General features: G+C 34.8%; 1 protein-coding gene across 7 annotated transcripts in view; it reads left to right on the forward strand.

Moving 5' to 3' along the window:
* Positions 1–26,624, forward strand: part of UNC13C (unc-13 homolog C) — a 795,839-nt gene that overhangs the window by 450,432 nt on the left and 318,783 nt on the right. For all 7 annotated transcript variants that reach the window (XM_047432538.1, XM_017022220.2, XM_017022221.2 and 4 more), the window contains 3 exons: positions 5,862–6,031; positions 9,778–9,893; positions 12,177–12,340. In XM_047432538.1, the coding sequence (XP_047288494.1) occupies positions 5,862–6,031; positions 9,778–9,893; positions 12,177–12,340 (450 nt within the window). The remainder of the gene's footprint in view (positions 1–5,861; positions 6,032–9,777; positions 9,894–12,176; positions 12,341–26,624) is intronic.

Here is a 26,624-nt window from a genome sequence, read left to right on the forward strand (position 1 = left end):
GTATCTTTGTCCAACACTCCCAATGTATTGTGGAGAGAAAAGAAAATAGGATGACAGCAATTTAAAATTTCTGATTTAGTAAGACAGGAAATGGAAAATACATAGTCTTTGTATGTAGCAACCATAGAGTCCTGCTGGACAGGTATATTCAGGACTTCCTGGTCCTAGCAACAGAAGTAGTTTCTGGGTTAGTCAATCTTGTATGACCTGCTACTTTCTAGATGAATTTCGTTTATCAGTTTCCCTCTACTAGTTTGAGTCTACATATGGGTAAACCTTCTTTGCTCATTTTATCAGTGCCTACACTCAAGGGTGAGTACTGTGAAAGGTGAAAGTAAATTAAAAAGGGCTCCAAAAGAATGAAAAGTCATTCCATTATCTGCAATATCCATAAATGAGGACCATCCCAGGAAATCCAGGCATGTGGTCTTCCTAGCTGGGGAGATGCTCTACTTGGAGTCTTTTTTTTTTTCTTTTAATTGCTGTGAGTGCAGGGACCCAGGAATTACTTTAAGCACAGCTGTAGCCAGCCAAATGTGAGACACATTGGCTAAAGTCCATCTCTAGTTGCAGGGGAGGTTGGGAAATTGCATAAAACTAAAAAAGGGAAGGAGAGGAGTGGTTTGAAAGGTTGTTGTATGAGTGTACTTATAGCGTCTGCCACCAACAACCTCTTTAGCTTCTCAGCATGTATATATGACTTTTGGGCAGTACTGTTTCCTGGAGAATTTACTAGGCTTCCAGGAGACGGGCTCTAAGACAATTTTATGAGCAAGTAACCACGTAAGCCTGGACAATTTTGTCTCTTATCTCTTGGCTCCTCTGTTCTGATCAATTCATCTCCCTTAACCTAATGGCTGCAGCCTCAGTTCCTGAAAAATAATATGCCAGGGTGAGAATGCAACACCTTTAATTTGGTTTTTGCCACTAAGCTACCATTCATTTTGACTCGAAGACCTCTTAAAGGATGGTGCTGGAAAAGCCCTAGGGCAACAATTTTATCTATTTCTGAAGTTGCACTTAGAAGCCTCTGCTTGTACAGGTACCTTTTTGTGTTCAGAATCAGCTGGCTTTTCTCAACCCTGCAGAGTTCCAAATTATGATATTCTCAGTCAATTTATATTGCAGGACACTAGCACATGACCCTCTTTTGAACATGGCTGCTCTCCTTTGCATCTCTACCTATAAACTGTCTACATTCAGTTTGAATGTATCTCTGTGTATGGTAGTATATTCTTGAAAGGGGGAAACATTTGATAATCACTTGCCAACATTCTGAATTTTATTTCCCACCATTCCCACTAATAAAAAAGCTTCAGGTGGCATGGTGGTCAAAGTTTATAGTGAGCAAGATTTGACCAGCTGTTTTGCAATTGCGTATCAAAATGTATCGGCTTTCTAGCCCGAGGTGATTAAATCTTCACTCTCTGTGCCAGCATCTCCTCCACAGAGTCAGTTCTATGTTTTTAGACTCTGTTACTTGCCACTCCCTTCATGCTTTAAAAATTATTATGTTAGTGAGTATTCTTAGTTGCAAACAACACAGTCCACTTTGGTTAGTTTAGGCTGAGAGATTATTTGTAGACTACTAGGTCACTCAAGAATGACTGTAGAGGTTAAAGTACTAGCTTCTGAAGCTACTGTGTGGGAACTGGGTCAAATTATGTGGTGACATTTCTTTGGGGAAAACACCGATCAATACTTTTGCCCCTCGGGACTAAATAGTACTGTGAAACCCTGTATCACAGTACTACATAGCATCCACTGTTGGGGGAAAAAAAAAGCAGTTCCCATGATATGGGCACTGTACACTGTACCACTTTGAGTTTACACCTTGCTTGAATGCAGGGTAAATACCTGGAACATAGCTACAAAGGAATCCAGGAGTGTGAGTTATCTAACTTCAGTCTTCAGAAGATGAGCAATACAAGGAGGGATCTAGTCAAAATGAAAGCAGAATGCTCGAGAGGCTGGGCATCCATACATATGCTTCTCCACCACAGAATCATAAACTGAAATCTCCAGTTTCAAACCCATCACAACACCCTTACGTAATCTTCAACATTTGAAACAGCAGCCTCACTCTTACCTTTGCTCTGTGAAGTAAAACTGTACGTTTCTGACAGTTTAAATGTGAAACATAATGACAAACTTAATATTCCTCAAAAAAAGCTGTTTGGAAGAGAAAAAATGTAAGAGCTGGCCAGTCTTTACGGGGAAAAAGTAGAACCAATGTTAGTTGCGACAAATATTAGTAATGTGACAGGTTAATAAGAAATAATTAGGGTTCAGGGCCTAGAGAAATGCTCTGTGCTATTGTTGCAACTCTTCTGTAAATCTAAAATTATTCTAAAATAAAGTTCATTTAATTAAAAAAATGAAAAAAACAGTCAACCAGAAATGCACAGAGACTCAAACTCCCAAGACAAATTGCAAGTACACTTATACAAGGAACATCAGTGGTCATTTATAGTTGTCCTTCATCTATTGGTATCCCATTTATTTTGAACAGAAATTTGGAAAGAAAGATAATATTGTCTCTCCCTCCTTTTTCTATATCATGTATATGTATTATGTAGAAAGACACATGCATATGTGTGTATGTTTACCCATATAGTTACTACTATTTTGTATGGATTGCTATTTGTATGCATATTTAACCACTTAATACACCTTTACCTTGCTTTTATAGCAAAAACTAGAAGCTCAAAAAAATTTGCCTCAAAATGAGATGGATATTTTTTCTTGTGAAGGAATAGATTCTAGAAATGTTTACCAATCTTTATTATCTAGAGCTTGCTATTTATTGTGCCTGCTATTTGCAGGTAAAAAATGCATTAGAACTCTGTCTTCCAGGGCTTACATAAACTCTGATGATTTATTTATCAAAAAATGACAAAAAGGGACATCTTTCTGCATTTGCAATGTATTGAGAGTTAAGTTTAAGATGATAACTGTATCTTTTGCTACTCTAAAATGCCTTCTATCTTTTTCTAAGATAAGAATGAAATAAACTAGTAGTTGTGTCTTTGTTTCTACTTAGACTTTTCTTCTTTTTGATAGCAAAGAACTTAGAATGTTAGCCACTTTTAATATAAATTTTGGGTAAATTACCAAAAGTGTTATCATCCAAATATGCTTGCTACAATAATTTCAGGTGTGGGTTCATAGTTATCTTGGGAATTCTGAGTCAATGGGAGACAGCTGTGCTCTTACTATTCCAACTGCTCTCCATGGTTGATAGTGAGCTTTGTTAGCTGCTCCAGACACAATGTCATGGATTAATTCTTCCTTTCTCCCCACAATTTCTACCTCATTTTACTAATAAAATAGCTCAAACTTAGATATTTTTATGAATATATTTCTAAGAATGACAAAATTATTTTTTCTTCAAATGTAAAAGGGATTTTATTTTGGTGAAACTTTACAGACTTTAGTGAATATTTGTTGAAAGATACATGCCAGAAATTGTCAATAATAGATATATTAAACATAGGCTCTAACTTCAAAAAGAACGTGGAACTTGTGGAATAATGGCGTCTTATAGCTAATATGGATGAAACATTGCCTGGCACTGTGCTAACTGCTATAAGGTATTATCTACCATTTCCCACAAGAATTTTCTAAGACAAGTGTTATTACCCCATGTTATTTATAGATAAAGTAACTGAGATTTATAGAAGTTAAGTTAGGTAGACATAGTAGTTCTCAACCCTGTCAGACCCAGTGAATCACTTTTATGTAAAATAATTCATAATGACCTATTTTATGCTGAAACAAAGTAACGCATGACTTAACCTATCTATAGATGTAATTTGAAAAATCAGTATAATGTTCCAACTTAAAATGAAGGAGAACTAAAAGTATTCTAATATGTATTTTAACGTGTAAGGGCTTGGATACAACTACCCTAGAATACATAGTAGACACTGGCTTTCACTGTTGATAGAATTAAGATGAATGTGACCATTTCAAATGCACACTGATACAAATACTATAAATACTACAGTTCAAATATTATAGTTCAAATACTTTGTGTAGTTTCGACACAGGTGATGTAATTTTTCAAAATGGAAAGGAAGCCTTGGTGAAGTTCTTAACAGCAACAACAAAACCTTCTTTGATTAGTGATTGACATGCTAGTTCCTTTCCAGGACATTTCAGTGTCTAGTAAATCATGCAAAAGACATGGTGTTTCTACCTAAAAGAATTACATCCTGAGCTAAGGTAATCATCAATGAGTTAAGAAATTTCCTTAATGCCTGATGGGTCATTTTAAATCATGCACACTGTCCTGTACATGGTGGGGTATCTAAATCTCTAGCCTATTCCACTGAATGCCAGTAACGTCCGTGAATGTTCGTGAAAACCAAAAATGTCCCAGAAATTAGTAAAATGCTCTGTGTTGAAAACTCCTATGTTAAGTAGAAACAGTGGTGCTACAATTCGTATATAGGCCCATCAGATTCAAATATTATTCTTGTATGTGCTGTATTATTTTGCCTTATAAGTTAATGAAAGAGACATTATACTCAGGAATTCTCAAATACTTTTTGCACCATGAACCTGTTGGGAAGTCTAGTGAAAACCATAGATGTCTTTTCAAAATGTACTTTTTCATATAAAAATAAAATTCATAGAATTAAATCAATTATATTGAAACACAGTTTTAGTTTAATGATAGGTACAAATAATATTTTAAGGTTCATAACACTTAGAATGTTATATGTAAGTATCTGTGGTTGTATTGATGACAAAAATGCTGCTGTGGTTTGTTGCCTATATTCATAATTGAAAATATAAAGATGATCTCTTCCTCTCTCTATATATTATAAAATATGTTTTATACATATATCTATATTAATTATAGATAATATATAGATTATATATAGAGATAGATATCTATATCTATCTATATAGATTATATAGATAATGCATATATAATATGTATATTCTCCTTATATGTGTGTGTGTATATACATATATAATATATGTATTTTAATCCAAGTTCAAGAATGCTCAGAACTCATCCATGAACCCTGAGATAAAGCACCTGTGCTAGAGGAAATCATGTACAGGATACACAGAAAGCAAAGAGTTGATTGCAACTAAATGGTTCAATAAGTTGCAGGAAAAGTGATATACATCAGTTTACTTGCAGATTCCTAAAGATTGATTGGTTAACAGGCAAAGAAGCCTAGGGAAGAGTGTATACAAAAACCACAGTGTCAGAAAAGACCATAATATGTGTAGGCAATACTAAGTAGCTTGCCTCAACAAAAGAGGGTGAAGAAAACCTGGAAATTAACGATGGACTAGAATGCACAGTTTGTTCTTTAAATCAGAAGGATTTTGCTCTAATTCTACTTGATTTAATAATATCTTATGTGCTTACTGGGATTTTTAGTTTTTCAAGTCCTTCAGAAAACTATTATTGTCATTTTGTAGTCTGTGAAGTCCACATTCTCAACACCCATTGCAATAAAATTAGCTTTATTTTTATGGTGAAGAATTTTCCAAGCATGGATATTTTTATCAAGATAACTATTGTCAATAGGAAATATGGCATAAGTGAAAATATCACAAGCAAAGATTTCTTACCCATATTTGATTATATCTAAATCAGTTAAAGGAAATAGGATGGAATGGGATTTGATTTTCCCTTATTAACATTATTTAGCTTTTCTTCAGTATAGTTGCATTATGTGCCTGCAACATCCCATGGATAGATGAAATGGGTTATCTCATTTATTATGTAGTATATTATGCCTTTCTAGAATAGATAGAAAATAAAGTACTAACATCAAATGGAATTTAGAGCAGTTTTCAATTGTTGTTAACTTATCCACATTTATTTTCAGTGAGTGTCATAACTCCACAGATCGAATCAAAGTCAGAGTATGGGATGAAGATGATGATATTAAATCCAGAGTCAAGCAACATTTCAAAAAGGAGTCAGATGATTTTCTGGGACAAACAATTGTAGAAGTGAGGACCTTGAGTGGAGAAATGGATGTCTGGTACAACTTAGGTGATTTTTTTTTTTATCTACTTGAAAACGAGTTAAATAAAACCCCTGAATACCTGTGGCATGTATTACATTCCCATATAAGTAAAAATAACCAATGCCTTTCCAGGACATTCTGTTGAACTTTAGATGATTCATTTCATTGACAAGAAAAGGCTATTCTTTTTTCAATACTGTTGAAAGACTTTGGTAAATTTGAGGTGAAAGGAGAAATCCCTTTCCAAGAACTACCTAGATGTCTTTTAGAGAAAAATGTTATTGCATTCTTAATTTTTAATGTATGAAATACAGCTTCACAAACCCTTGCCAAATACATGCGAAACAAATAACCTATTATTTAATGCTATTTGACTTATTTCCTTCTTGTCCATTAATGAAATTTTGGCAATGAAGGAAAAATGTATTTTGAATTGCTTTCAAATGACGGTATAACAGTAGGCTTTAGTTGACAAAGTCAAGTAAACATGTGAACTCATGCAGACTCTCTTGATGAAGATACTGAGAAGGTGATTAATTGGAATGATTTAAAAAATTATTATGGAACCAGAAATTAAATAAGGTAAGTTTTAATTTAACTTTTACTAGAATAAAATAATAACATAGAATTTTCTGTGGTGATTTAATAGTAGTAAAATATATGGGTCACCTCAGTTTCTGCAAAGGCACGATCTGAAGATGTCTTAATCATATCCTATAAAGTGTTTTAATTAAACTTTTGAGGGCTGGCTGGATATGAATTAAAGAGTTGACACATTCCTTGGGTTACAAAGAGTTACCACTTAGGATACCAACATATGTTAACAAATTAAAAAGTGCTTTTGACTTTAAAAAAATCTGCATACTTTTAGTAATGAAATAATTGACAAATGGAGGTCACATTGAATTCACAAAACTCTAGATTATAGAATAATTCAATGAAAGAGATATTTAATTTATCTGAACACAGATGATTCAAGTTAAACTAAGAACTAATTATTAAAACTATCTTAAGAAATCTTCCTTAAAGAAGATTTGTACTCTTATGTATTGGAGTAGAATTTTTACCTCTGCTATAATGAGCCACCCCCCAAAGCTTGTTTTAACTATTAAATGACTTCGTATATGAAAATAGAATTACTAACTGAGGGTAAATTTCAGGCCATTAACTCTGTGGAACATTCACAAATTATTTCTTTATGAAAGAGGTTTATCTTTATATGGACTTCTTTTCTGTAATACGTTAACATATTCTTGGGTCGAGGCAGTAAAGTTGTAATTCAGAACAGAAATTTCTCCAATGTATTCTTTTAACAAAACATATATGAGTACCTGGCACAGTGGCTCACACCTGTAATCCCAACATTTTGGGAGGTGGAGGAGGGAGGATTGCTTAAGGCCAGGAGTTTGAGTTCAGACTGGACAACATAGTGAGACCCATCTCTACCAAAAATTTAAAAAATATTAGCCAAGCATGGTGCCATGTGCCTGTAGTCCCAGCTACTCTGGAGGCTGAGGCAGGAGGATCACTCGAATCCAGGACACTGAGGCTGCAGTGGACTAAAAGATTATGCCACTGCATCCCAGCCTGGGTCACAGAGTGAGACCTTGTAAAAAAAAAATAAATACATAAGAAGAAGAACAAAAAGAAAAACCATGTACCAGACTATATTCAGAACTTGCTGAGGAATTTGAATATGCTGCTATTAGTAAAATCAGCCATCTAGCTCTTATGCTGAAACTGTCCTTCAGTCTATGAGATGAAAATGTGATGAAACGCAATATTGTAAGTCTTTACCTACCCACCCTCAGTAGTTTTTTGCCCTCATTGCTGATGTTTAACCTTTGAGAGTGTGTACAGGTTTTACCTTTTTTAGCTTTGTGTAAAATCCCTAAATACATTCTATCCAAACAAATAACCTATTTCTATTCTTGATACAACCCTCCTTATCACTTAAAATTCATTCCACTACACAAAGGAAGTTTTGACTGAAAGCCTTTGGTGTCCAAGCAGAGCCTGCTTCCCAAAGATCCTTAGGGATGATGACAGTTAAAAATCAAAGAACCAATAAAGCTCCCCTGGATTTCTGGAAAGAGGTGTGTGACCAAAAAAGACCCTAGGTCTTGCATTTCTCTTGGCCCCAGCAGAGAATTTTTATTTTTATTTATTTATTTATTTTTGAGACGGAGTCTCGCTCTATCCCCCAGGCTGGAGGGCAGTGTCGCGATCTTGGCTCACTGCAAGCTCCGCCTCCCAGGTTCACACCATTCTGCTGCCTCAGCCTCCCGAGTAGCTGGGACTACAGGCGCCTGCAACCACGGCCGGCTAATTTTTTTTTTTTTTTATTTTTTTTTATTTTTTAGTGGAGACGGGGTTTCACCGTGTTAGCCAGAATGGTCTCGATCTCCTGACCTCGTGATCCTCCCGCCTCGGCCTCCCAAAATGCTGGGATTACAGGCGTGAGCCATCGCGCCGGGCCCAGCAGAGAATTTTAATATTTCTTGAGAATCAACTCCCTCTCAACCAGTAGGAAAATCGCTTATGATCCTGGCACTTAGAAGGGAAGAATCTTTGCAACACAAATGACGATTAAAGAATAACAGTGAAAAGTCAGCAGACATTCCACAAGAGGGAAGTCATCTTCATGGTTTAACTGTACCTTATACGGCTAAAGATACAGCTATGTTTAGAAAGAGGGCCAATTTAAAGTCCTCCGCACTGACTTTGTGTCACTTACCTAAATCCTATTTTCATTTGTGAAATGGGTCAGATTGCCTCTGTGTTTTGTATCTGAAATGGGTCTTGAACTTAGGACCCTCCACTACAATCACAGCCTAGATTATGCCTCTATTTATCGCAAAGCTATTGCTCAGTTTATACCGAACACGTACGCACGCACATTTTATGGCTAAATTGACTATATGTTGTTTCCATTCAAATAAACAGTCCAGCACTTATAAGTTAGCCTAGGGTATAGACTGTAGGTCTTTATAAATCACTGACAATGAAAACTATTAACATTTTGTTATAAACCAGAACTTTGGCTCATCTTTTCAAGTACAAAGAGAAGAAACCAAGTAGTGACAGCTTTCAGATAAAATAATTTCCTATTTATACACCGTTTTTCTTGATTTTGATTGCCAAATAACTTATTTAATTTCATTGTATAAACTGATCAAATACACAGAAATATATGAGAATTGCAGGGTCTTCTGATTAGTTTTTTTATTTGGAATATCTGTAAGACGCTTGATAATTACAATACCACAATAGGCAAATATTTTTAATTGTATTTAGGGGAATCATAGTTACTTTTTTTGCATTTTTAAATAGAGACAGGGTCTCACTCTGTTAGACAAGGTGAAGTGCCCTGGTGTGATCATAGCTTAGTATAACCTCAAACTCCTGAGTTCAAGAGATCCTCCTGCCTCAGCCTCCTAATTAGCTAAGACTGCAGGCAAGCACCAACACACCTGCCTAATTAAAAAAAAAAAATGTAGAGACTAGATCTTGCTATGTTGCCTAGGCTGGTCTCAAACTCCTAGCATTAAGTGGTCCTCCCACCTTGGCTTCCCAAAACACTGAGATTATAGGCAAGAGCTACCACATATGGCCTCATCATGGTTACTTAATAAGCAGCTCTGACTCAGAAAAATAGCTTTTAGCTACTTAAGCCGTTTTTTTGTTTTTTTGTTTTTTAGCTTTTGAGAGGTCGTATGAGAAAAACATTATTGTCAGACATGACTGACCAATTGCCTTTTTGCTTTATCAGAGAAAAGGACAGATAAGTCAGCTGTATCTGGGGCCATACGATTGAAAATCAATGTGGAGATAAAAGGAGAAGAGAAGGTTGCTCCATATCATATTCAATATACATGTTTACATGAGGTAAATAAATGGAATTTTACTAATACAAAATATAAGAAATGTTCTTGATTATGGATTATAAAACAGAATATTTGGTTTAAAAATCATTGAATTTGTAGAGTGGTTCCTGGAGTTCTGACTCTATACTACAGCAGGTGATATACTAAGATATCATAAATTCTATGTGTTGTATTACCCCTGACGAACTTGTCATCTAATGAGAGTTTAGAACAAGCCTGTGAGGCAGGTGTGAATAGGCAATAAGATGATAATGCATAAGTAGATACAAAAAAATTAATGTTCTTCCAAAGAGGAAGAAGAGTGTTAAAAATATTGATTGAAGAAATGAGTCATGCCACATATTTTGGAAGCATTAAATATGTAGTAGTTTGGTATTGCAGGAGAGGATCAAATCGTAATTGTGTTTGAGAACTCCGAGTTAGAGTTCAGATTTTATTGAAGATTTAATTAGGACTCTATTTATAACTAGAAACATAAAAATGTGGTGCTGTTTTGATGGCTTTTGGGAGCCAATGTAATAAGCAGTTAATTTTTCTTCCTGTTTCTGAGTACAACAAGCAGTTTCATACATACTGCACAGTCCTCCGTGTTAACCTCTCTTTCTACAAACATGTGAGTATGGAGAAAATGAAGATGTGGTTACTCACCCAAAAAGTAGGGCCTAGTTGGCTTGGAGAGAGGTAAACACCACCCAACATCAATCAAAAGCACAGTTTCACCAGTTCCCTTTTGTGTCTCAGTAGAGAAGCACAGACAAATCATCTTGGGAGTCTATCAAATGTTTGTCGCTGAGAGCTTAGTTAGAGGTGTCACGGGAGACTTTCTCTGATGCAAATGATACTTGTCTCATATCAAAAAATAGGTGAAGCTGAGGAATGTACTCTTCTTCATGTGTTTCAAAGTAACAAAGTACCTTCCTCAGAAAAAGACAACTGAAAGATAGTTCTACTTTTGTGCATATTATTTTTTCTACATATATTCATGAAAATTTATACATGTAAATATTTATACCCCATTTTACTAAGAAAGAAATGAGGAACCGTGTTTAAATCGTGTGTATATTACACACGATTTAGGTATAGGACCTAGGCTTAATTTCATAATCACAGTTTTGTGGTTAGTGATATTATTCCCTCAAGAGAGATGGTTCATTTTTCAGACCAATAAAAAGAAATCCCTTGAACTGGCATGATGGAGAATTCGGGCCTTAAAGTGTGGGCAGAGAAGATCTGCAGTCAGAGAAACAGCAGTACACTTCACTTTACAAAGTCTTTTCTACTGGTCCAAGAACCAGAAAGAACTGAAATCTAAGAAAAAGTCCTTCAGTTTACCCTGGCTTTATCAAAGTAGCAGTTGCTAAACTTAGAAGCAAAAAGGAATTGAGAGTAGTAATTTTATTTCGTTACAAAATTCTCCAACATTCATTTTCAACCTCGATTCATTGCCCTGACTCTTACCATTTTGCAGCCCAAATCCTTTAGTATCATTTACACAGCTAAATTTTGCCTTAACATAGTCAAAATCAGATTATTCATCCAGGGCACTATAATTTACTCAGAATGCCTGAATGCAAAATACGCTCTATCATGTAGAAATGTTTTCAGGCAAAAACACTCACTTCCTTCTGCAAATGGTTTGGTATGTACAAAATATTTGAATCATTGATTCTGTGTAGACCCACCCAACTTTACTATCTAAAGTGCCTTAGGAAGGTACTTTATCACTTTGAACATGAATAAGGGTACATTCTTCAGCCTCATCTCATATTTTTTGATGTAAGACAAGTATCATTTGCATCAGGGAGTCACCAGTGACACCTCTAACTAACCTCTCAGCTGCAGTGTAATAGAATCTAATTCTGAGAATGGAACTTGGCGATGTATGGTTTAATAAGCCTTCCAGGTGATTCTCATATACTTTAAAGTTTGAGAACCTGTGCCTTATTTGCTGAGGAAACTAAAGCCTTGATTTTTCCTAGGTTACAAAGCCTGTTACTGTCAGAGACCTATCCAGAGCTATTATGACATCTTGTCCTAAATATTAAACTATGTCCTTCCTTCCCATATTTATATCAGCGCTTTTACCCAGGCAGAAATCAAAGCAGATTTTGCATAAAAGATGAATTGAGTTAGAATAAAAATTCAAGATATTCCTATTGCTTGCAGATGCTGATGAAACATTAGAGGCAATGACAGTGCAAGAGCATTTTACTGGAAGTTTTAGTTAAATGTTTCTGGCCTATTCTGAGGAATCACTGAACAATTAAAAACCACTTGCTTTTAGAATCTGTTCCATTACTTGACTGAAGTGAAATCTAATGGTGGAGTGAAAATCCCAGAAGTCAAAGGGGATGAAGCCTGGAAGGTTTTCTTTGATGATGCTTCCCAAGAAATAGTTGATGAATTTGCTATGCGTTATGGAATTGAATCCATTTATCAAGCTATGACGTAAGTACTACAGAACATTTACATGGTCAATATCTCTATTAAAATATAAAGAAAGAAAGGAGCGTTCATCTCACTTCTAATTCAAATGAAACTGATTAAAAAGAGGATTATATTTCACTGTGCATGTTTGATGCTGACTACTCTCTCTTACAGCTGTAAAGTATTAATGACTTGGTAATTCACTACCACCATCCTCCAATCCTTGTTCTGTCCTCCAAGTGTGGTTCCTTGACAAATAGTATCAACAGCACCTGGCAACTTAGCAATGCAAATTATCCACCCCATCCCAGACCTACTGAATCAGAAACTCTGAGGGTGGAATCCAGCAACCTATGGTTTAACAAGTCTTCCAGGTGATTCTCATATACTTTAAAGTTTGAGAGCCAGTGACTTATTCCATATCTGAGGTAACTAAAGCCCTGGTTTGTCCAAGGTCACAAAGCCTGTTAGTGAGAGAGACAGGTCCAGAGCTATTATGGTGTCTTGTTCCAAATTTTAGACTATGTCTTTCCTTCTCATATTTATATCAGTACTGCTAATTCAGTAAAACAAAGATTTATTTAGCACCCATAGAACGCAAACAGTATAAAAAATGTGATACCACAGAATTAACTTATTATAATTTCAGTGAGGATTTAGAACTGAATTTCAGTAAGGGTTTAGTAATGAACAGAAGTATTCATTACTTCCCCATAGTTTCCTTTTTGAGACCTGGTCTAATTTTATAAGTGCATATGGTTCAGATATATACCAGGTGTAATTTGTAAATTATTTATATTAGATGACTTTTTTCATATTAACAACAAGATCTCATTTTCATGTAAACTGAATAGATACTGGTCCAGATAAGAAGTCAATTTCAATCATCTTAATGATGAATGAAGACTGGGCCAAAATCAGTGTTCATTTTCTTTTGTTTTTTTTTTTTTTTTGAATGTAAGTTCTGGGGTACATGTGCAGAATGTGCATGTTTGTTACGTAGGTATACATGCGCCATGGTGGTTTGCTGCACCCATCAACCCATCATCTACATTAGGTATTTCTCCTAATGCTATCCCTCCCTTAGCCGTCTACGCCCCAACAGGCCCCGGTGTGTGATGTTCCCCGCCCTGTGTCCATGTGTTCTCATTGTTCAGCTCTCACTTTTGAGTGAGAACATGCAGTGTTTGGTTTTCTGTTCTTGTGTTAGTTTGCTGAGAATGACGGTTTCCAGCTTCAACAATGTCCCTGCAAAGGACATGAACTCATCCTTTTTTATAGCTGCATAGTATTCCATGGTGCATATGTGCCACATTTTCTTTATCCAGTTTATCATTGATGGGCATTTGGGTTGGTTCCAAGTCTTTGCTATTATGAACAGTGCTGTGATAAACATACGTGTGCATGAGTCTTTATAGTAGAATGATTTATAATCCTTTGGGTATATATCTAGTAATGGGCTTGCTGGGTCAAATGGTATTTCTAGTTCTAGATCCTTGAGGAATCACCACACTGTGTTCCACAATGGTTGAACTAATTTACACTCTCATCAACAGTGTAAAAGCATTCCTATTTCTCCACATCCTCTCCAGCATCTGTTGTTTCCTGACTTTTTAATGATCACCATTCTAACTGGCATGTGATGGTATGTGATTGTGGTTTTGATTTGCATTTCTCTAATGACCAGTGATGATGAGCTTTTTTTTCATATGTTTCTTGGCTGCCTAAAGGTCTTCTTTTGAGAAGTGTAAGTACATATCCTTTGCCCACTTTGTAATGGGGCTGTTTGTTTTTTTCTTGCAAATTTGTTTAAGTTCTTTGTAGATTCTCGATATTAGCCCTTTGTCAAATGGATAGATTGCAAAAATTTTCTCTCATTCTGTAGGTTGCCTATTCACTCTGATGATAGTTTCTTTTGCTGTGCAGAAGCTCTTTAGTTTAATTAGATCCCATTTGTCAATTTTGGCTTTTGTTGCCACTGCTTTTGCTGTTTTAGTCATGAAGTTTTTGGCCATACCTATGTCCTGAATGGAATTGTCTAGGTTTTCTTCTAGGGTTTTTATGCTTTTAGGTTTTACATTTAAGTCTTTAATCCATCTTGAGTTAATTTTTGTAAAATGTGTAAGGAAGGGATCCAGTTTCAGCTTTCTGCATATGGCTAGCCAGTTTTCCCAACACCATTTATTAAATAGGAAACCCTTTCCCCATTGCTTGTTTGTGTCAGGTTTGTCAAAGATCAGATAGTTGTAGATGTGTGGCGTTATTACTGAGGCCTCTGTTCTGTTCCATTGGTCTCTATATCTGTGTTGGTACCAGTACCATGCTGTTTGGTTTACTTAAGTCAGGTAATGTGATGTGTCCAGCTTTGTTCTTTTTGCTTAGGATTGTCTTGGCTATGCTGGCTCTTTTTTTATTCCATATGAAATTTAAAGTAGTGTTTTTCTAATTCTGTGAAGAAAGTCAGTGGTAGCTTGATGAAGCATACTTCCCAAAGTAATTGATAGATTCAATGCTATCAGTGTTTCTTTTCAAAGTTTACTGTTCATAGCCCTTAATCTCTAATCATAATTCTAGAACAACATAATGTAAGCATGAATGATAATTACTGATAGAGAAATTGTGCATGCTTTTTCAGTACATAGAATGTCCTTATGCTAAATAATAAAGATATATAGATTCTTAGATGTGAAAAAAAAATAAGAAACCTTAGAGATCACTCGATTGAACCTCCTTCTCAAATCTAGAAACTTTGTTATTGGATCCCTGACTAATGGTCATCATCCCTTGTTCATCCACATCCAGTAATAGGGAGCTCACTACTTTGGAGGGAACTTGTTTTATAATTGGTCAACCATAATAGAGTCTGTGATTTTGACATCTGTTCCATCCCATGCCAAAGGCTATGATTCAGAACACCTAGTATAAAGTTATAGCACAATTAAAATGCAAGTATGATGAACAGTCTAAGGGAAATGAATTGTTCTGCCTAAAGAAAGGTAGGTTACAAAATCAAAACAACCTGCTGCTGGATAGAATCCCATTAAAAGAAAAGATTAAGTTAAATTTATTCTAAAATATCTCTGGGAGCTGATGTTAGATTCATTCATTTCCATCTTTTCTGTGTTCTAAGAAACACAGTCATGTTAATATAGAAAAATGGTAAGTATGTATCACATAGATCGTTGGAAAGAGGAGAATTAGCCCTTCCTTATTTTATTACATTGTATAATGTAACTCTTGCCTCTCAATCTAAGTAAAAGATAAGTATTTTTCTTTTTTTTTTTTTTTCCAGTTAATTTAGAAAGCTTATTTTGCCAAGGTTGAGGACACGCTCCCATGACATGGTCTCAGGAGTTCCTGACGACATGTGCCCAAGGTGGTCGGGGCACAGCTTGGTTTTATACATTTTAGGGAGACATGAGACATTAATATATGTAAGATGTACATTGGTTCCATCCAGAAAGGCGGGGTCAACTCACAGCAAGGAGGGGGCTTCCAGGGCACAGGTAGAGGAGAGACAAATGGTTGCTTTTTTTGAGTTTCTGATAAGCCTTTAAGATAAGTATTTTTCAAAAATATTTTGAATATTTATTTGGTAGCAAGTGACCTGCAGGTATATTGGGTCTCATTGTATTTATAAATCTCAGGAAAGGCAAAACTCCTGTTCACACTAGACAACTGTCTAAGAGCAGGGGTTGGAATTTTTTTTTCTGTAAAGGGCCAGATAGTAAATATTTTGTAGTTGTACCAGTCTCTGTTACACTGCTTAGCTCTGCAGTACTAGTGCAAAGCAGCCATAGATATTAAGTAAATAAATGGAAATGGCTGTGTGCTGATAAAACTTTATTTTAAAAAACAGAAACTCGGAATTTGGTCAGGGTTTGGCATGAGGGCATGAGGGCCATAGATTCACTGGTCTAAGGAGTGAAAACAAGGCAGATAGAAATAAAGCAAAAGAATGCCTTAGGTTTTGTGATTCATTGACAATTACACTTCAGTGACAATAATGTGGTAGATTATGTGTACTTGTGGTTATACATTTGATTTAAAAATATTTTTATATATCACATGTTTCTTTTAGCACTGAATACTTATCATGACAAGCCTAACATTTTTCCCAGCTTAGCAAAACTTTAGACAGGCTTCTTTCTGCCTCTATCGCCCTGACGTCCGTTTCCTCCCAGCCCTTGCAGATTCCAAATGACCTAAACCCACAGGCCTCTGACCTCCTTTCCCTTAGAGCATTTACTTTAGAAAACTTACAATTGTAAATTCTTTCTCTGTTCCTTTGAGATGTAACTAAAAAAAAAAAAAAAAAAACCCTTACCTGATCTTGTCCCTGTTGCAGTAGCCTTAATGAAAATTCCCTTGTCTAATTAACTTTGGTGCAATTTTTGCTTTGGCAGTACAAAATTTTCCATTACTTTGCCAGAAGAAAAAAATTCTGTTGACAATCTGATCAATCCTAAGGAAATTACTACCAACATAGATACAATCTCTATTGTACCAATAAAGATTTTATGAATACCAATATTATTTATTGGTATTCATTAGTTATTAGAAATTATTGTTTTTATACAAAAATATACGTGTACTCATTTTATCTCAATCTGTTAATATAATTGTAATCTGTAATTATATCCAGGAAAGAGAATAGAATGGAACAGCATAGAGGTGCACTTCAATTCTATTCCACGACTTACAAATTGAAATTTTGAAGAGAGAAATCATATCTTTCATTACTGCTTCATAAGAAGTTCTTGATACATGATAGAAAGTCAGTACATATTTGCAATTGAGGGAATCAGAGGCAGAAGCTGTTTATCAGAATTACATTTATTTTTACCTTCTCCTAGTGTGTTTCTAGATGCCAGAGTTTTTCAGTTGCCAAAAAGAAAGTGAAAATGAAAAGTTTAATTGAGCTGATATAGGGGTCTATGTCACCATTTATGCTGTAATAAGGGTGAGAGCACACTACATTGATTGATCGTTTTTAAAAATTTGAGGAAGTTTCAGAGTACTGAGTTCTTTTTTCAGTCAAGAGTTGAAATACAGCTTTCAGAGATAGTTTCCACCATACTTTTAAAATGATGCTTTTGCAATTGAATTGTAACTTGAGCCCTAAGCTATTGCTGGCCAAGCACTAACTCAACTGAAAAAAAAACTGTTTATGAATAAATCTATCTTTTAATTTAAACCGGTTGACTAATGAATAGGTATTTTTCTGTTGTTCTGAAACCTTGCATCAGGGAACAACAACAATAAAAGTAACCGGAAAGCCAACCAACCAACCAACGAAAGAACAACAAAACCTAGAACGCAACATTTGAAGCCTGTCTCAGAAGTACTTCCTCTTAATTCTTAAAAAAACAAAATTGGAAAACTCAGCTACAAAGAAGAAATGCTGTCTTTTCTCTATAATAAGGATACTTAACCATTTTCGAAAAAGACAAAAGTCCTTAATTCTGTGGATTTTCCTAGACACTATTTGATCAAAAACAGAAATCAAATTGTACCTTCTTTTGATATTTAAATACTCTTTAGGGTTAGCCAAATCCCCGGGTAATTTCATAATCTTCCTCTTTTATTAGAGATTTCTTGGTTTCTTTTGAGCACATTCCCATTTCTTTGAAGATGGATTTGGAGAATAAATAAATAAGGGGAAGTATGTTTTAAGTCAGAATCTGGTAGTACACTACTGAATTTTTCTCTTGTGAATTTCTTTTCAGACAAAAGAGTCTGAAACTATTTTGCTGGTAAACCTGAGCATTAGGACTGAACGTCCCAGTGCTCCAAGGTACCTCCAGCTTACTATAAAGCATTCCTCTTTCCACAGAATATTTTCTGTGAGGGTACCATTTATTAGCCCTACCTGTTACATAAAAATGACCCTTTGTTCTGGAGCATGCGTCAGTAGGAGAGGGATTACAATTTTCCTGTTTGGACAAGTGATTGATCAAGGACCTGAAGAATTTGTTCCCACATGGCAAATGCAACCATCCATCTAAAATAAAAACAATTTTCTAACTAATGATAGTAAGAATGATAGGCTGTTCCCCTTCTCTAAGGAACACACCATTCCACATATTTTGCATCATGGGGTGAGGCATAGAACTTGTTTCCATCATCAATATTTTGGGAGTTCTTGATGCTTTTCATCTATATATGCAATGTGTATGTTCCTAATAGTGTTTTGACAGACTAATTGTTCACAGCTGAACACATCCGGGGAATTCTATATCAGTCATTATGGTTTAAATCATCCTCTGGAGATTATTTCTGTCAAGAAAATACATTTTCTTGAGTGTTTAATCAGTCATTTATTGTAACATGAAGGCTAAGATGTCTCACAAAGTCTGAGATTCTATTAGGCTATGGTTTTGCCTCTACAATAGCAAAGGAGAGGAAAGCATTAGGTCGGTGTTTTTTACCTTGATGTGCTTACAAAACAACCTGTAATGTACCCTGGCACTGACCATCTTTATCTAATTTATATTTAAATCAGAACTGTTTGGATACAGGTTACTTTAAAGTCACAGTCTGTTTTAACTGCTTTATCCAGGAGTCTATCTGTAAAAAAGAGTGCTGCTTAATGGAGTCATTCATTTGTTTAAGAAATATTTACTCAGTGCCTATCATGTGCCAGAAACATTTCTATGGTTACAGCAGTGAACAAGAAGTCAGTCTAGTTTCTCATGAACCCCACATTCTAGAAGATGAAATTAATTTATTCAATAGATTTTCTGAGGATGTAAGTATGAGGACTTATATAGAATGTCTTAGTCTGTGAGGCTGCTATAAAAAATACCATCAATTGAGTGGCTTATAAACAACAGAAATTTATTTCTCACAGTCCTGGATGCTAGAAGGTCCAAAATTAAGGTGCCATCAGATCTGGTGTCTGACGAGGGCCATTTCCTGGTTCATTTATGGCTGTCATTTCACTGTGTGCAAGCTTCACATGGCCAAAGGGATGGAAGCTCTCTGGGGCCTCTTTTATAAGACAACTAAAATCCCATTCATGAGGGGCTCCCCACTTATGATCTAATCACCTCTCAACAGCCTCACCACTTAATACTACAACCTTGAGTCATAGGTTTCAACATATGAGTTTTTCATGAACACAACTGTTCAGACCACAGCACAAGGCAATGGGGAAATAGCAGTAAAAGATAGCTCTTGTCTCTAGTAAGCTCCTGATTTAGGGGGAAGAGAACAAAGAGATTAAATAGTAACAAGCATGGGGGCTATAAGGGCATAGGTATAGAGGAAGCAAATCCAAGCACAGATGAGAAGTGTCAGAGGAAGCCGATGGGCAGCCTGAGGGCCCCACCCTTACTTGTCCTTCAACTTCTGTCTTCCTCTAAAATCTGTGCCTTTTATTTATTTTCCAGTCACACACCATTGCTCTTGTACTCAAAATCTCCATAACTGGGCTCTAGCAACCCATAGCATCTTTGAGAAGCTATGATGTTTTTGGTCAAAACAGAAGTGACATTTAAGTGTTTGAGTCATCTTTAGTGACGAGAATGAATAAAATTCTAACTTATCACTGATAAGTTAGAATGCTGAGCTGAATTTGGGGGAGCAAGTGTGATGAATATTGTTTTAGTGTATTTCTAACATCAGAAATGCAGATAGTCTTTCCTTTCATTTTGCATAGTATCTCTGAAATTGCTTGCAACAATCTAAGAATCATAATCTTCCTTTTGGTACTTCTTTCCAATCACCTTGTTCTTCTGTTCATTGATTATTTTTAAACTTTAGATGAAAGTCATTTCTAGTCTTTGAAAACCACAAGTTCCGTATGATTTCGGACACCTGTCCCTGAACTGGCATGTGAGTTAGAGGATTGTTTTATTTTTTTTGTTCAACAATAGCAAGTGACATTAACCCAGATGTGCTATTTGAAATACATATTAGACCAATAATATTTTGACTATTAATGGTTAATAACTTTGTAGCAGTTGCTTTAGCCAAAAACTTGCCAGTAACTATCTCATTATTTGCTTTTTAAATTTTTTTAAAAATTGATTGATAAAATTTTATGTATTTATTATATACAACATGATGTTTTGAAGTATATATACATTGTAAAATGACTAAATCTAGCTAATGAACATATATATTACTTTACATAGTTATTTGTGTCATGAGTACACTTCCACGCTGTTAGCATTTTTCAAGAATACAATGCATTGTTATTAACTATCATCACCATGTTGTACAATAGGCATTTTGAACTTATACCTCATATCCAAGTGAAAATTTTTATGCTTTAACAAATATCTCCCAGCACCCACCCTGCTAGCCAACTCCAGCTCCTGGTAACTACCATTTTACTCTCTAATTCAGTAAGTTCCTCTTTTTTTATATATTTCACATATGAATGAGATGATCATATGGTATTTTTCTTTCTGTGCCTGGCTTATTTCATTTAACATAATGTTCTCCATGTTCATCCATGTTGTTGCAAATGATAAAATTTCCTCCATTTTTATGGCTGAATACTATTCCATTGTATGTATATACATTTTCTTTATCCATTTATCTGTCAATGGACAGTTACATTGATTTCATATCTCGGCTATTGTGAGTAATGCTGCAATAAATATGGGTGTGCGGATATTTCTTGACATACTGATTTATTTTCTTTGGCTATAAGCCCAGTAGTGGAAATAATAGATTATATAATAGTTCTATTTTTAACTTTTTGAGGAAGCTTCTTACTGTTTGTCATAATTGCTGTAATAATTTACATTACCATCAACAGTGTACGAGATTCTGTTTGCTCCACCTCCTTGCCAAGGCTTGTTATCTTTTACCTTTTTTGGTAATAGCCATTCCAATAGGAGTGAGGTGATAGCTTATCGTGGTTTTAATTTGCATTTCTCTGATGATTAGTGATGTTACATATTTTTCATATACTATTGGGCATTTGTATGTCTTCTTCAGGGAAATATCTATTCAGATCCTTTGCCCATTTTTTAATCATGTTATTTGTTTTCTTGCTGTTTAATTATTTGAGTTCCTTTTATATTTTGGATATTAACGCTTTATTAAATGTATAGTTGGCAAATTTTTTCTCCCACATTGTAGGGTGGCTCCTCACTTTGTTGATTGTTTCCTTTACTGTGAAGAAGCTTTTTAGGTTAATTCAATCCCATTGTCTATTTTTGCTTTTGTTGCCTGTGCTTTTGAGGTTGTAACTAATACATCATTGCACAGACCAATGTCATGCAGTTTTTCCTCTATGTTTTCTTCTAGTAGTTTTATAGTTTTGGGTCTTACATTCAAGTCTTCAATCAATTTAGAGTTGATATTTTATATGGTGTGGGATAAGGGTGGGTCAAATTGTATTCTTCTGCATGTGGACATCCAGTTTTTTCAACATCATTATTAAAGAGATTATCCTTTTCTCATTGGCACTCCCGTTGAAAATCATTTGTCAGTAAATGTGTGGATTTATTTCTGGGCCCTCTATTCTGTTCCATTAATCTATGTGTCTATTTTTATGTCAGTACCATGTTTCATTATTTGCAGTAAGTATCATCTTTTTAGAGTTTATTACTCTAACTTTTCCCATGGAACTAAAATTCCATTTGTTGAATTCTTCTGACACTAGCACCATTTACTTGCAAAAGTAAAGTCAAATGTTTTAATGTTAATCCATTGTTTTTAATCATGTCTTTAGGGGAGAATATTAAACATTTCCAGAGATTGCAACAGTACTTTTTGACCTTTTTTTTTTGAAGATGTACTCTCTGGTTTTTGAAGAAGTGGTTTGCAGCACCTCTGAGTCAGTCATTTTTAATTATTGGTTGTACTTGTAATCCTATTTCCACCCTGAGAATAATTTAAGTAGTGTTAGAACTGTAGCTGTTAAAAGTAAATGATTTTCAATGAATATGGTTAGAAGCAAGAAAAAGTTTGCCTTGGCTGTAACTACACATAAAGAGAGAACCCATGCAAACTCAGAGGCGGACATCTTGCCAAATTGAACCTCCTATAGAAGCCCATTAGCTGAAAGCTCTGCAAAGAGCAATGATTGCCTCAGGCTGACTTCTGTGTCCAGTGCTTTCTTGCTATTTTTCCTAACCCCTGGCTGCAATAGAATCAAATGCTCATGGTGGAGAGAAGTGATGAATGCAGCCGGACACAGCCAACATGTTATTTATATTCAGAAAGGCATAGCATGTTAGAGCATGTAAGGGTTAGATCTTCTAAAAATCCTTTCATTTTGCAGATGGAAAAACTGAATCTAGAAGTGATGAAGTCACTTTTTAAGGTCACAGAAGACGGCTAGGTTTAGCATGAAGCATCTTTATGCCTTGGTACTCTTAACTCTAAATTGGCCACCCAGATTCCTTTTATCCCGCCTCATTTTATATATCTATATCTATATCTATATCTATATCTATATCTATATATATGTACATACACACACACACATGCACACACACTTTGCTGACCATTTCTTCAAGGTTTCAAAGAAATGTAGCCACTAATACTGATTCATATTTTTCCTTTTGTAAGATTTGTCTGTTTTTCTTTTTTCCTTCAACCATCCAAGAAATGTTTACTTTGATACATACTACTACCACCTTTATCACATCAATTGCCTAATCATTTACTATTTAGAGTCATGAAAAGGCAAGTTCAACATAGACTATTGTTTTGGTACTAGGAGCTACCTTCCTTAATTTAGCATGCTTTTAAGCACAGTTTCTAGAAAAGGATAGGTATTTTTACCAAACTGGGGAAAAAATTATTGTAATGACCTGAAAATTCTGTTGCTCAGTTTCAGTATTTTATTTTGCAAAATCAGTATCAAATGAGTAAGCTTTTAATCTTGGCTGTCAACCATTTGTTTAAATCCCAAGTCACTAGTTATTTTTAAGAAGTTAATTTTAATGTAAGTTCTAACAGGTGGCAACTACTCCTAAGTATTGTATCTTTAATCTTTAGGTGTATTAAAAACTGTTTAATTTAACTATAACTAAATGTATTACTCATATTTAAATTTTTGACATATTTACATTTCCTTTCAATCAAACAACAAAAGTTTTGCTGATTAATTAGCTCACAAGAAAAACACTATGGTAATGCTAAGTTGTTATTGAAACTGGTAATAAAATATCTAGTGGAAAGAAAAGTAGCATTAAGTGAAATGCTTGGTTTTTCTTATTAGCCTTTTTTGATTTTCACATATTCACCATTCTCATACCTTTATTTTGCGTTAGGAACTTATGCACCAAGATCATTTCATTAATATCTTTAAAATTCTTGATATATTTTACTAAGTAATATTAAACTGGTATCTATTTTACAGTAATTTTATTATACCATGAGGCATGTACTCCTAACTAGAAATTACTTGTCAGTAATACATTTTGAAAGAGAAAAGTCATTTTGTCAGCGATTTGTTTGACTTCTTCAACAAAATTCTTGTTCAATGATATTTTAAAACATTATAGGTTATACAATTTTGCATGATGTACTTTAAAGTTTATGTAGTTTTCTTCAAAAGGAAAATATGTACAAATAATTTAGTCAAACAAGAATAAAAAACATGTTAAATTATCTTATTAGTGCTTAAGGTTACAAAGAGACTTTTAAAATCAACAATAGGCAAAATTTGAATTAGCAAAATTTAAGATGTATATTTTACATATTTTTTTCTGGTTAGGGTAATAAAACACGTTAATGCTACATTTAAAAATATACAATGTACATTTTTTAAATAACAAAAATGTATAACGCCAACCAGAGATAACACTATGATCATATTCAGCAGTATTTCCTGCTGGGTGTTTGTTTTTGTGTTTTCATGTAGACATATACACATATCTATTTGTGTTTGGTGTGCATGTGTGTGTGTGTGTGTTGAAATAGTGAAATGTTTTTATCCTGCTTGTTTTGGCAACTTTCAGGGTTTCTTTGAATACGTGTTTGCTGACCACCTGGATGTTGTCAGCATCCACCTGTAAACTTTGAAAGACCAGCCCCTAAAAATTTTCCACTTTCTGCCATTTCTTTATTCAAATGAAGCACTCTTTTAGACTGGGGGAAAATATTTTTTAGCTTCTATTGGTGAGTTTTCTAAGTATATTTCTTTTTCTGAACAATGTAAACAACCAGTAAATTTTGTCTTGCTAAAAGCAGAGCATAAAAGATTCTACATAATCCCCAGGGTATATTGTTCCCAGGGTTCTTCCAGCCCTTTCTTCTAAGTAGCTTCACATCCCATTGCTCATTCCCTATTGTACAGGCAGTATTAGAATCTTGGGAGTTTTATGCTCTTTAATGGATATAGAGTGAGAAGGTGTGGGAAAGGAGAAACAGCTTTACTGCCTGGGGAGTCCATTAGCATGAAATAGGGAGGGATTGATAGCCTTGCTTGGCAGCAGTCTAGGCCCCAGATCTCTGATAAAGGGGGCAGACATTGGAAGGTTTCTAGAAATACCCTCCCATTCCTCTCTGTCAGGTTAGTGTTTTAGGAGTTTATATATCAGCAGTCACTGAATAGTTCTCCATCTAGCCAGCTGCCTAAAGTTAGAAAAAGTTCCTTCCAGAAACTGGGAAATCTTTGATTGGTAACCTTAATTTCCAATACGGTTGTGATTTTGCATCCTTTTTGGTTTTCTTGGAAGTTTCCATGGGATGCTTAGAGGGATTGAGTCAGGTGCAGCTAGCTACCATCCATCATGCCCCAGAAATCACCTCAGTTAATTTTAATCAAAATGTAAAATATTTCTGTCAGCTTTCTAAGAGGAATACTGGCCTAATGCTTTAAAAAAGTTAAAATGCTGCTTTCAGTTTACTGATTATAAGTAGAATATTATTCGCCTTCAAAGTAGCCATTGTTATTACAGTGTTAACTGCTAAGTACTTCCGCCACATTTTCACAACATAATTGGATGTCTTCATAAACTGTCATACTCAAGCATATGTCCTGTACACTCTAACTCTACATCAATACCTTTAGTTTATATTTGGGTTCATATTACTTTAATTTGTTTTAATTAAGTAATGTTTCTTGGTCAATTAGTATGCACAAGAAAACACTGTGCTAAATATGGGCTGGATATATATCTTAAATTTTGCTGATTCAAATTTTGCCTATTGTTGACTTTAAGAGTCTCTTTGTAACCTCAAGTACTAAGAAGAAAGATAATTCAACTTGTTTTTTTATTCTTTGATAAACTAAAAACTTATGTATATTTCTCTTTGTTTTTGTAAATAAAACTGCATAACCTTTAAAGTATATAATGTAAAACTGTATAAAGCTATAATACTTATTGGGGAATAAGTCAAACAAATCAATAACACAATGCTTTTTTTTCTTTCAAAAGTTATCAAAGCATAAACCAAACACATTCCAGAAGGAACAGATACGTATACAAGTAATACACAATATTGAAGAAAGAGGGCCAAAGTAAATAAAATCATTATGTCAAAGATATATCTGTAGTCCCATGTTCATTGCAGCATTAGTCACAATAACTAAGACATGGAATCAACCTAAGTGTTAGTCAATGGGTGAATGTATTGAGAAAATGTACTATGTACTCACAATGGAATACTTTTAGCCTTAAAAAAAAGAATGAAATCTTGTCATTTGCAACAAGATGGTTAAACCCTGGGAATATTATGGTTAAGGGAAATAAGGCAGGCACAGAAAGACAAATACTGCATAATCTCACTTATATGTGGCATCAAAAAAAAAAAACAAAACAAAACTGGAATTCACGGAAATAAAGAGCGGAATGGTGATTACCAGGGTCTTAGGGAAAGGAGGCGGATTGTGGAGCTATTGGTCAAGGAATACAAAATTTTAGTTAGATGGGAGGAATAAATTCCAGAAATTCATTTTACAACATGGTGACTATAGTTAATAACAATGTGTTGTATTCTTGAAAAGAGCAAAGCGAATAGATTTTATGTTTTCTCACCACAAAAAAAGATAAGTATGGGAGGTAGTGCAAATGTTAATTAGCTTAATTCAGCCATTCCATATTGTATACATATTTCAAACCAACATATTGTACATGATAAACATGTAATTTTTATTTGTCAATTAAAAATAAAGAATTTTTTTTATAAAGAGAGTGAGGAGGATAAATTAAGAGAAGCTATACCATGGTGGATGGTTAAGAAGGAGTCTCTAAAGATACACTGCCTGAATTCCAGTCTTTGAGAGAGAACCTTACCTGCTCTGTGACTTTAAAGAAAAAAAGAATTAGAAAAGGAAAGAAATGTTTAATTATGACAAATACAGAGAGGACATTAGACTTCAGAAACA

The sequence above is a fragment of the Homo sapiens genome, chromosome 15 (genome assembly GCF_000001405.40).
Source record: "Homo sapiens chromosome 15, GRCh38.p14 Primary Assembly".
Classification (NCBI taxonomy): domain Eukaryota; kingdom Metazoa; phylum Chordata; class Mammalia; order Primates; family Hominidae; genus Homo; species Homo sapiens.